This window comes from Homo sapiens, chromosome 3 (assembly GCF_000001405.40).
Source record: "Homo sapiens chromosome 3, GRCh38.p14 Primary Assembly".
Lineage (NCBI taxonomy): Eukaryota > Metazoa > Chordata > Mammalia > Primates > Hominidae > Homo > Homo sapiens.
The window spans coordinates 122,182,397-122,195,195 of record NC_000003.12 but is presented as its reverse complement, the minus strand read 5'-3'; the positions used below and the strand labels follow the sequence as shown (position 1 = coordinate 122,195,195).

The following is a 12,799-nucleotide window of genomic DNA, read 5'->3' as shown; positions in this document are numbered from 1 at the left end:
AGTTGTGGGAAAATTACAAAAGGAGGATTACAAGCTCTGGGATGTGTAAGTTGAGTGTTGAGTGCTGTCATAGTGGGTTGATAACACTGCCCAACTAATAATAGGAGTAATAACCTCAGAAAGATGGAGAAGGGAGGGATGGAGGGAAGTGAAGAAAGAGAGGGAGGAGGAAAAAGGAGGAGGAGGAGCAGGAAGTAGGAGGAGGAGGAGGAAAAAGTAAGAAGAAGAAAGGAGGAGGAAGAGGAAGGGAGGTGGCAGGGAAGAATATAACTAAAGTGTACGGACCAAATGAATGTGTTGGCCATGCTGCTCCCAACAGATCTCACTGCAGAAAGTAGCTCCATAGATGTATAAGCTGGGAATGGGCAGGCAAGGACTCTTGGCATATACTTGGGTGATAACGTGGATGTTGGGTGAAACTGGGAAGTACGATAATGAAAATGGAATTTGAATAAACATGGAAAGAAGGGAGTTCTGGAAACCCTCAAGAGGGCCAAGGGTTATAAGACATGGCTAGTACCTCTCTGCCAAGTAGAGGAAAAGTTCCTTCTCATAACATTGATGAGAAAAGCTCCTTCTCATAAAAAGACTTCCTTCTCATGACATTGTGGAACCACAAGGCAAACACTAACAAACCACACAGGGAAGGAGATTAGGAAGGGTGAAACCTGGCCTATTTTTTTTGCCTTCTTGTTGGTGTGGCTTGATTTCACCAAGATAGGAAGGGACAAGTGGTGGGTAGGGGGACAGGAAGGAAGAAGAGTAGAAAGTGCGGGGGTGAAGGAGGCAATCAGTCCTCACCATGGCTGTTCCAAGGGGGACCCAGAGATGCATGAGATCGGCCCTGTTTTCAAGGAGCTCTAAATCCAGTTAGGAAGACAAAAATCCCTTGGTGAAAAAAACCAAATGCATATATGATAAAAGGCCAACTAGGAACAACAGATGCAGCTGAGTGTGGGCTGTGCGAGTATATTTGGGGACACTTCATGTTATAGAAGGCCTAGATTGGTACCTGAATAGGTGATAAGGAGATAGGGGGTTCCAAGCTGGGGACTCTGCAGGAATTAAGTAGTGGAGGCAGGAATGAGAAGGCGTGTAGACTGGAGAGCACGGGATGTGTACCACCATGTGAAATGGGCAGGACAGTAAAATGAAAACAGCTTAGGCTTTGGGGCCAAGATGACTAGTTTCCACCACCTACAAACCCTCAGGCCTAGGACCTCAGTCTTCTCATCACTTAAATGAGGGTTATTGGGAGGGTTTTTATCCCTTCCAGGATAAAAAGGATAAAGTATAAAAACCCTTCCAATAACCCTCCTTTCGGGGTTGTCAGAAGGATAAAAAAAAGTAAAGTAACTGTAGTAACTGTGTTACTTTACTGTGACTAGATTTGGCAGATATAATCAATGTTAATCCCTTTCCATAGTTTTACCTTTCTTGCAGAATCTCCAAGATTCTCTTTATGAATTAATAACAATCTTACACATTTGAAAAGACTAATTTTGAAGTCAAAGCTAACTAGAGAGCAGGTATATGTATTTTGAACTAATCTCTTGGCCAAGAAACTTTCCATTTTTAACTGTGTTACTGGCACATGGTAGGTACTCAGAAACTGATAAATAATTTTATTACATTACTATTTCTAGGAATAAAAGCACCCCATAGAAATGAGAGGATAGGGCCGGGTATGGTGGCTCATGCCTGTAATCCCAGCACTTTGGGAGGCTAAGACAGATGGATCACTTGAGGTCAGGAGTTTGAGACCAGCCTGGCCAACATGGTGAAATCCTGTCTCTATCAAAAATACAAAAATCAGCTGGGCATGGTGGTGCATGCCTGTAATCTCAGCTACTTGGGAGGCTGAGGCAGGAGAATTGCTTGAACCCAGGAGGTGGAGGTTGCAGTGAGCTGAGATCGCCCCACTGCACTATAGACTGGGTGACAGAGTGAGTGAGACTCAAAAAACAAACAAACAAACAAACAAACAAACACAAACAAAAAAAAAACCAGAAATGAAAGAATAGGAGAATGATAATATGAAAAAAAAAGGTCGAAGATTTTCAGAAATGAAAAGGTTCAAATAAAAAGATACAATGTGAGGGGTGATGAAAATTAAAGAAGGAGTGGATTAGAGTGAGGCTACCTGCTCCCCTCTCCAAAAGTTAAAAACTTTCCAAACTTCAAGTTGTAACTTTAAATTTTAACTTGACTGAGCATATTTATAGTAAGAAGTTCACTTCTTCAGAAAGCTAAATAAGCTATGTGTGTTCATTTTTGCTGGTGGACAGGAGTTCCATGAAATCTGTATAAGCTGGAGAGGCAGCTGGATCGTGAGAAGAGCAGAGAAAAGAGGTGATCCATGGATCAGCCTTACCATCATCGCCTGGGAGCTCGCAGGAACTATATACATTTGGCCCCCACTCCAGACCCGCTTAATCAGATTTTCTAGGGGATAGACATTGGTAATCTATGCATTAAGAATATTCCCCACCTTAAAGTTTGAGAGCCCTGGGATGGAAGATTTGGGAAAGTTTCTTGGCCAAGAGATTAGTTCAAAATACATATACCTGCTCTCTAGTTAGCTTTGACTTCAAAATTAGTCTTTTTCAAATGTGTAAGATTGTTATTAATTCATAAAGAGAATCTTGGAGATTCTGCAAGAAAGGTAAAACTGTGGAAAGGGATTAACATTGATTATATCTGCCAAATACAGTCACAGTAAATGGAATAAAGTAGATCTGTGTCAGTTCACTGATGTTTTGTTGCTATTTAAGTTACATAAAACCTTTAGTTGTTTAGAGCTTTGAAGATTTTGGAAGTGTAGACCTGTATGAACCCATTTAAGCCACATAACAGCCCTATATGTTAGATACTCTTATCGTCCCCTTTGTACAGATGAAAAAAGTAGAGCCTGGAGAGGTTCCAAAGTTACAGGGCAGAGTTACATGACAGTTACATGACAGAGCCAGAATTTGAATCCAGGTGGTAAGACTCAAAATCATGCTTTTAGCTGCTAGCCTATGCTGCTTCCTATCCACCACACTGTATTTAACCATTCCCTTATTATTGGATTCATAGGCTTTTTCTTGTGTTTCAGTTTCAAATTCTCACTGTGAAGAACATCATTGGGCATAAGTCTTTAACCATATTTCTGATAATTTCTTAATGATACAATCCCCAAAATGAAATTCTTTGGTCAAAGGCTGTGAACAGTTTTAAGGCAATTGTTTTCCAGGTAATTTGTTATGACAGTTTCCATTGTGCCCCACTCCACTAGCATTATCTTCAACATCTTAATGTTCCTGATAAGGAAATTGGTATATCATTGTAAAAATGTTTCCCTTATTGAAGAAAAGTTAAAATATTTGTATGTTTCACCACCCATGTGATTGTCTTCATTTGAAAACCATTACAACCTTTGGCTACTTTTTTGAAACCATGGTCTTAATGTTCTTCCTATTAAATTCTATGAGTTCTTTATATTCACAAATTTGAACCTTTTGGCTTATTTGTTGCAAATTTTTTTGAGTTTATTTTCATTTTAATTTAATTATAACCTTTTATATACAAGTATTTTAAACGTTGGCCAGGCATGGTGGCTTATGCCTGTAATCCCAGCACTTTGGGAGGCTGAGGTGGGTGGATCACCTGAGGTCAGGAGTTCATGACCAGCCTGGGCAACATGGTAAAACTCCGTCTCTACTAAAAACACAAAAATTAGCCAGGCATGGTGGTGGGCGCCTGTAATCCCAGCTACTTGGGAGGCTGAGGCAGGAGAATTGCTTGAACCCGGAAGGCAGAAGTTGCAGTGAGCCAAGATCGCACCGTTGCACTCCAGCCTGGGTGGCAGAGTGAGGCTCCATCTCAAAAAAACAAAATGAAACAAAAAACAAAAAAACCCAAGTATTTTAAATGTTTATGTAATGAAATCTATCAATATTTTCCTTCATGATTCTCTGCTACTTTTATACTTAGAAAGAACTTCCTCATTCTTACAAAATATCCACTGCTCCCCTCTCCAAAACATAAAAACATTCCAAACTTCAAGTTGCAACTTTAAGTTTTAACTTGACTGAGTGTATTTACAGTAAGAAACTCATTTCTTCAGAAAGCTAAATAAGCTATGTGTGTTCATTTTTGCTGGTGGACATCCTTTGAGTTCTGTGAAATCTGTATAAGGTGGAGAGGCAGCTGAATCTTGAGAAGAGCAGAGAGCTAGGAGTAAGTAGAATCAGCAACGTTAACCAGATCTTTTACTTATAGTTGCACTTTCTTTGGCAAGCCAACCTTTCAGTACCCTGGTTTCCTAATTTGTAAAATGGAGATAATACCTTCCCTGCTCAGCCGCCTTATTTATCTCCTGACATGTTCTGGGAATCAAATGAATTAATATTAAGAGGGTGCTTTGTCAATTGCTGACTGTTATACCAGTCTATATACTGAGATTTGTTCATTCACTAAGTCACTCATTCATTTGTTCATTCATTCATTCATTCATTGATTCATTCAGCTCCTCCAGTGTACCAGGCACTATGATGGATTCTGGAGTTTCAGTGTTGAATAAGACACGCTGTCTATGCTTGATGAGCTTTAACAACGTGTATTAGCTCATATAAGTCTTTTAACAACCAAAGAGGTAAGTAGTGTTAATTAACTGCAGTTTACAGATAAGGAAAATGGGGCATAGAGAGGTTGGACAACCTGCCCAAGGTCACGAAGCTAGTGAGCTGTCAAACTGAGATACAAGCTCGGGTAGTCTAATTCCTGGCCCTAGGCTATTACCACTGCAGTGTACTGCCTCTCAAAAGATGAGGATGAATGGAAATTGGTTGATAATTGCATGGAGTATAAACTTTACTTGGACTATTTTCATTTTTAAGAGTGTGAAAAGAGAAGATCACCTAGCCTCCTCACTACCTTTCCCCGAATCTCTTAATCGACAAGCACTTAGCACATAAGGGCTCTAACTGGCAGGGGCTTGGGGCACTGGGATGAGTAGACCCAGATCCTGACCCAAAGGAGTGCATGATTGGATGGACTGGAAGCCTGAAGCTGTGGTAGAGAGCCTCAGCCTGAGTGTCACTCCCACCACCATCAGCTGTTTAAGATCAGCTTGCACCCTCCACCCCACTTCTCTTCCTACCCAGTCTCTCTCACAAGGGCTACCAGACTGGAGATCTGGGCACCACAGCTGGCGTCTCTGAGTACACAGTGCCAACTCAACATCTGACATGCAGTTGGGACCCAACTGGTGAACAAAACTAAACTAAAAGCTTATGTCAAATTATAGAATATTTAGAAAAACTATATGAAAGATATGATAATTCTTTCAACCATCAACTTCTGTTAAGAGGAGAAAAGCAAAACTTTGTTCCTAAGGACAAACAATTATTGAGGGGTACAACTGCAATTTCTTTGAGCCTGCTTCTTTCTACCTACATGAAAAACAAAAGATAAACAAAAAATATGCTTAATAGGAACTCTACCAACAGAAAATATGGGAGGAAGAAGTCAAATTACTCAATTTTTCTATTTGTTAGTAATTTTACTTGCATGTGTGTGACAGACTTGTTGAAGGAAGAATGGCTAAAATTAGTTTCCTCTCTGCAGGTATCATATTACCTTTGCCCCCATCATCACTGATAAGCATTCACTGAGGGTGGAGGAAAACAGGTTTCCACCCTGGTTCCCAGGGAAAAAAAATCAATCATAGATGAAAAACACATTAAAACAAATTAATTCAGGTTACTTAACCCAAGAAATCTGCATGCTTCCTGCTTTTTCAATGTGAGGAAAGACCCTGGGGATTAACTGAGCCAAAGGATATCAGCTAGTTAAGCACCCACCATACGCCACACATTGTGTTTAGCACATTTAACTCATTTAAACTTCACAACCGCCCTGTGAAGGAGACATTACCTTAGCTTCACAGATCTCAAAGGAAGGTCCACCACTAAAAACTGAGGCTCAGCTAGGTTAATGTCATGCTGAAGGTCAGAGATAGAAAGCCCACCTTCCACCAAACTAGACTGTCCACGGCAGAGGCTGATCTTGTTTTCCTCATTTCATATTTGACCATCTCACTCATTTGGCTCTGCCTAATTATAATGTTCATTTCTGTGGCTTTGAGTAATAATACAGTTGTTTGAGCAACTGAATCCAAAAGCACACCCTTAATCAGCACTTCCTAGTATCCACCTTTGGTGGAAACAGTAATAAAGCTCTCGGCAGCTTTTCAACAAACACTATCACACATGTCTGTATTGTTTCCTGCCTTATGAATGGATACTGTGGTTACCAAGACTGCATTGCATGATGAAATAGGAACTACCTGAATCCTCTAATTCTCATGGACTTTAATAAAGTCCATGTGGACACCTCAGTTAGTGCTTATTGTATATGAGAAGACATGAGAAAAAGGAGAAAAAAGTGAATCAGGCTGGTGTCAGGCAAGAGTTGAACCAACAGTACCAGGCATGGAGTGAGGGTACATCTGTCACTTCAAGGCAATGACAAATAGGTGAAGTCTAATGTCCACCCACTTTGAACTGAAAGCCTCCCAGAAATAGAGAGAGAGAAAAAGAGAGAGAGAGAAGATGGATATTATATTTGGTATGGATTAACTGATCCTATTTTATGTTCAGACACAGAAATGGTCAAGGGCTCTTCTGAATCAGAGATAGCATTTTTTTTGGTACCGATCATGAAGTTCTCTGTATACAAGCACTTCCCAGATTCCTGATCCCCAGTCCTGGTTGATACTCACTTCTTCTTTTCTATCCCAAGATCACTTGAATGACAGAGTCAAAGGATAACAGACCAGAATCTCAGGCTTCACCTCTTCAAATCCTCTCCCTCACTGACCACATCTAATGAGTAACTTAGTTCTGTGGTGGAGTCTACTTTGACGATATCTCAAGCATTTAGCTAGTTTTCTCCATGGCTGCTGCCATGACCGCCATGGTTCAGGCCATCATTACCATTATCTAAATGGTTATAATGTCTCTAAATATTTACTTTGTTCCAAATGAGCCCCCTTCAACTCAGCATCCACATGCAGCCAGAGTGATTGCAAAAATGCTCACGAGTCACTCCTCTATGTAAAACCCTCCAGCAGCTTCCTTTGCCCTAGAATAAATAATGAATAGCCAACAATTCCTGAGTACATAATCTGTGCATATCTTATCTGAATCTTTGCAGCAATCCTATGAGGAAAGTATTACCTTTATTACCATTAATTACTGTGGCTAAATTACTTAACTGAGGTCCCACAGCTAGAAAGTGGCAGAACCACGACTCAAATCTTTGTTTCTGTGACCCCATCATGCATACTTTAGCCACTTTGCTAGCCTCCCTACCTCTTGGCTCCTTATGCTTCAGCTCCTTGAACCACTTGCAGGTCCTAGAACTTGACATGATGTTTCATGCCTCTGGTTTAGTTGTTGTTAATTGCTTGTTTTTGCACATGAATCTCTCTCCCATTATACCTTCTTCTTTTGTCTACCTGGTGTCACTCCTCATCTTTCAAGATTCAACTCAAGCGTTACCTCCTCCAAGAACCTTTCCCTGACCCTTCCTCCTTTGGTAGAATTGACCACTCCCTTCCCTTATACATGAACGTACCCTGATTATGCTTTAATTGTAATGAACACAATACTACCTGCACATGGATGAGCATGACTCCCTCTCAGACTTCTATGAACTCCTTAAATGTTGGGACTCTGTCCTAGTAATCAGTTTTAATTATACTGTCTAGCACAGCTCTGAGCACATACAAGGTTTACTGTAAACACTGTCGAATGAATAAAAATATTTGTTTGAATGTTAAATATGTTGCTTCAGTGCAATTGGTGATTTTTTTTCTTTACTAAAGAGCTATATATGAATCTTTGAAAAGGATCATGCAGCTTTAGAATAATTGAAAAATTCTGGCATCCTCCCAATTAGAGCAGTGGCTAGGGATGGAAGGAAGATATTACAGCCCACCTGCCACACCTATTTTCACCTAAAGAATCTATTTAGTGATAACATTGAACAGTCAGTGTATAAACCACATTTGGTATCAGGGTTATATATATATTTACCTTATTAATGGGAATATGGATGATTCACATTTGAACTGCAATGCACACATTTTATTGTACACAATAAAATAAGTGGATAAGCATAAAGTTAATTGAAACATTTAATTATAAAGCAAGAATACAGCAATGGCAAACCATGACCAACTGAAGACAATGCAACTGATACTGTGATAACAAAGCATTCTTTCCCAAAGTGCCAAAAATGCCAAGTTGGCACATGTGCTCATGTAGTACAGCAAATGTCACATGGCAGTTAGTCTTCTTAATGACTAGCAGCCAAACACCATTCCTAGTGGATACATTCTGGTCCTACGTAAACAACAAATATATCCTCAACCTTCCTCTCCATCTTTGAATCTTGGCTCAAGGGAGATCTCCTTGAGAAAGGCTTCCCTGGTCTCACAGTTCAGTCTGTATACACCCTCAAAGAACTTCGTTTCTTTCCTTCAGACAGTTTATCTTAGTTTGTAATAACATATAGTCAATATTTATTTTCCTAACAGCTGCCACCCCAAAGCATCTGTAAGCTCCAGGAGAGCAGGGACCTCACCTGGTTTTATATACCAGTTAGTTCCCAGTGACTGGCACATAGCCAGGCACTCTATAAACATTTTGAATGATGAATGATGAATGATTTTTTTACCTCTTACTTACTTATTGCCGTGTTATCTTAAGAATTATATGCAACTCCTCACCAGTCTCAAACTTGTAGTTAACTTCTTCCTCTTCATTATACCCCTACCCTATCACAAGGATCAGTCATTATTTTCTCACCCTCTCCTCCCCACTCTCTTCCACCAAAAAGTCTTAGAAGTGGCAGCTTCTAATCAGCCTGAACTTTCTGACATGGTTGGGATCCAGTTCAAGGTTATGCAATATGAAAAGATAAACAAAATAAAGGAAAAATGTGGAGACTGGAGTACCTATTAGGTGATTTTAAACAATGGACACAGCTCCTAAAGAACCTGCTAATTCAGTAAAAAAGAAAATTTTTAACTAATTTAATTTCAACCACTCTGTTTTATCATAGAGACAAAAACTGGTTGATTTGCTGATTTTTTTTTTTCACTTACTATGTTTTGGTCTAGCATAGAAGTCTTGGAACAGAGCTGACTGTGCTGTATTGGCAGGAAGTAACTCGCATGTGTGGTCTCTTAGAAATTATATGGAGACTGTTCCCAAATGACAGGGCTCTGTGCTTGAGGAGTCTTCTCTACTCAAGGGTCTTGGCCTGCTTCTTCCTTCCTACTTCCCCTCCAACTTCTCCTACATCTTCCCCTCCCCTTTTGTCCACCACAAAGCTTTGTCCCTCAGCCCCTTCATTGGACACCTGGGAGGCAGGTATAAAGCACCCGCTCTCCCAGGTTCCTACAGAGGAAAAATCCTAGGCATGCCAGTTAGGGAATCCTGGAGTGGAGATGGGAAAAGCAACAGCAAGGTGTGACTGATGAAGTTCTGTTTTAAGGAATAGGAACTACTGTGGTGTTAAGTTCTGGAAATCCAGAGCATTTCAGAAAACAGCCTGCATTATTTCTCTCAGTAACAGACTACCTAAACTGCACTTGGAAGATCCAGTTTAAGGGGAAAGATAAGTGTGTTTAGAACTTGACATGGACTCTTCCCCAATGTGCCTTTTCTTCAAATCTCTGGGATAATTGAAGCAAGTAAACGAAATGTCTTCTCGTTAGTAGGCTCCCTACCCTGAGGACCACCTTGTGAAAAATATTTGAGGACAAGAGAGGCGTTGCAAGGAGGAACACTGGAGATTAAGGGATGTGGGCAGTGGTGGTGACATCATTTTCTGGATAAAGAATCAAAAGACGGCGACAGAACACGTAGAGTGGGAAAGGCTATGGGTGTAGAAAGGAGACAGCAATAGACACACATGCTAGTGCACGCATTGCCTGTAGAAGATAAATGTTTGTATTATTTGACTTAAAAAAAGAAACATATGCATGTTATCTATTGAAAGCTATAATGTTAAAATAATGATAAGACTCCATCAGTCTGGTATGCCTTTTTTTTTTCTCCCCAGGAAATACACATGGAGGCTGGTGCTCAGGCCCCGGGAACTGACAATCTAATTTGATGCCACTGAAGCAAAGTTCCCAAGACAGCTGGTAGCTTGGACCAGGAATCCTGTGGGGGCACTGACGGCCCCTGGGGCCAGAGCTGACTCTGTGGCCCTCCCCTCCATATTCATACACTCTGTAAAAGCTACCTGTCCCCTTGTTAACACGTGGCAAGCGAGTCCTTTCTGACTATATCACAGGCAGAAACAAGGCAGAGGCACAAGAAACTACCAACAGCAGGCGTTTTGGTGCGCGCTCCCGTTCATTCGCGTGGGCGACCCGCTGCCCCTTCTAGGGGCACTGAACAATCCAGTTCTGAGCCGGGGAAAGCCTTGATCCTGTAATCTGGTCCCTACTTTCCCCCACGTTCACGCCCAATGCTCCCAGGCTGGAGCTGCTCCGGCGTGTGCCCCTCGTTCGGCCCGGAGCCCTTGGCCCCCAGACCCCGCCACGGCCCCTCCCCCACCAGGGGCGCTTTCCTCCCGCCCTCCTTGGGTTCCCCGGTCCTACCTGCGCCGCGGCCAGGGCTCCCTCGCACAGAGGCAGCTCCGGCCCCTCGGCCGTGGGTCTCCACGAGGATGAGCTCTGGTCTGATCTCAGGACTGCGCGCAGCCCCGCTCCCTATGCCAAGGTCACGGTCTTGGAGAGGCGCGTCTGGCTCGCTGCGCTCCCGGCGCCCGCCTTCGGGTCCGGCCACAGCAGCCCCCGCAGACCCTCTGGGCGGCCGCTGCGGCCCCGGCCCCGGCCCCGGAGCTCCGCCCCTCTCCTGCTCCCCGCCCGCTTGCCCCCTCGGGGTCCCCAACTGCCGAGCCCAGCTCCCCTCGTAGCCCACTCGCGGGCTGCCTTCTAACCCCTACCCCAGTTAGTCCCGGTTCCTTCACCGTCTCCTTAGCCCGCAGAGAGCTTAGCTGACTCTTCAGGGTCGCTGAGGGCGCGTCTTCGGTTCCCCGAGGGCCACAGGCCGGCTCGGGTCCCCAGCAGACGGCGAGCCCCGCGCTTAGGTCCTCTCCTGCCCTCTCCCGTGCCGAGCCAGGGGTTCCCGGCTCTCAAATCCTGTTCCCGCTGTCCTCTTCCCTGACCCCTACTCCTTGGCGATGGAAAGAAGCTTAGGGCGCTTACGACGCCACCAACGTTCTCTGTGCCGAGGGTGGCACAATTTTTTTTTTTCTGATATAAGGCCAGAGATTCACAGTAAAATAAATACAAATCGCGTGCCCAAACTCTTACTCATTCTGCAAGACTCAGGTCAAGCGTTGCCTGTGCCGCAAGACCTCGGTGCTGGCAAACAGCTCCCTCCTTCCACTCTCCTGCGCGAAAGGGCGTGCGGTCCTTCCTGGCTGCAGCCAGGTGCCTGTTGCACTTGGTCTACTCTACCCGACTCCACAGCGCGCTGCTTGGAGGCCCGGACCTGGCCTTGCTTATCCTTGTCCCTAGCCCCTGGCACGGTGCCTGCCACCCATCACAGCACTAGAATATTTTATGAATAAGTGGAAAATTAATTTCTTTTGTAGAAAACCAGTTTTTTTGTATGTGTTTGTTTGTTTTTGGCTTTTTACTCTCAAATAAAGCATACTCCTTTGGGTGGGCAATTTGCTAGGCTCTATAAAGAAACACCAAAAATATTATCCCCTTTAATGCAGTATTCCACCCTTGCGGAAATTTCCAGAACAAAATAATATTCGTGCGGAGATTTTTTTTTTAGCAGGATCATTTGTTACAGAAAATAATTTTAAAAACCACAAAAAGCAAACAGAGCCAAACTGTCAACAGTAGGAAATTTGTTGAATAAATTAGGGTGACTTAATGGGACATTATACAACCATTAAAATGATAAACATCAAGACAGAAGTGCTTCAAATTCTTTTTAGAATAAGGAGGGAGTATGTATTTATTTATAAAGCAAAAAAAAAATAGGAAAACATGAAGTAACATGATAAAATGTTTGCAAAATACTGTTAAGCAAAAAGCAGAAAATTGGGTCGTTTACCATGTTTAAGAACTTCAAATAAAAATGCAGATTTCTTCTCTGCAAAATGGCGATAACATCTACCTCAGGGGGTCCTTGGAGTGTTAAATGAAATAGTCAAGGAAAGTGCCCTGTATAGAATGGATACTCAACAAAGTTTCCATTTCTTTTCTTCAATGGAACACAGACTCAAATCCAGCATGTCAAACACATCCTCATTATGGCCAAGTTCTGCCCATTTGGCTTCCTTTCCCTCAAATACAGGGTAGGAGAAGGAGCTGAGCAAATGCTAAAGCACCAGTGAAGGGGGCAAAATCTGGTTAATAGGAATAAATGTGAAGTCCTCCCTCAGGCCGAAACACCCAGCAATGTAAGTAATGGAGGATGTGGCTCAGTAGTGGTGCCTATCAAAATACCTTAGATTTTATTTTAGTTGGCTACAAGCACAGCTTTGTGAACACCCAAAGGCTGAACGAGTTCAGTTCAAAACCCGAATGAGGCTGCAATCTTAGGCTGAACTGATGCTCTTCACTGGTCGGATTACACCTGGGCATAATGTCCAAATTTGGGCACTATCTTTAAGAAAGTATTACTCTGAAGATCTATTATTGCTTCCATTTTAAAGACGAAGAAACTGATGCATACAGTTTCAGGTATTTAGGGTTGGGTGGCTAGGA

General features: G+C 42.6%; 1 protein-coding gene across 4 annotated transcripts in view; it reads right to left on the bottom strand.

Moving 5' to 3' along the window:
- The window catches only part of CASR (calcium sensing receptor), a 107,962-nt gene extending 96,434 nt beyond the window's left edge, over positions 1-11,528 (bottom strand). For 3 of the 4 annotated variants that reach the window (NM_001178065.2, XM_006713789.4, XM_047449065.1), the window contains exon 1: positions 10,667-10,869. The gene's annotated coding sequence lies outside the window, so the exon portion shown is untranslated. Of the gene's footprint in view, positions 1-10,666; positions 10,870-11,383 lie in introns of those variants that run through there. The other variant, NM_000388.4, reaches the window with a different exon arrangement.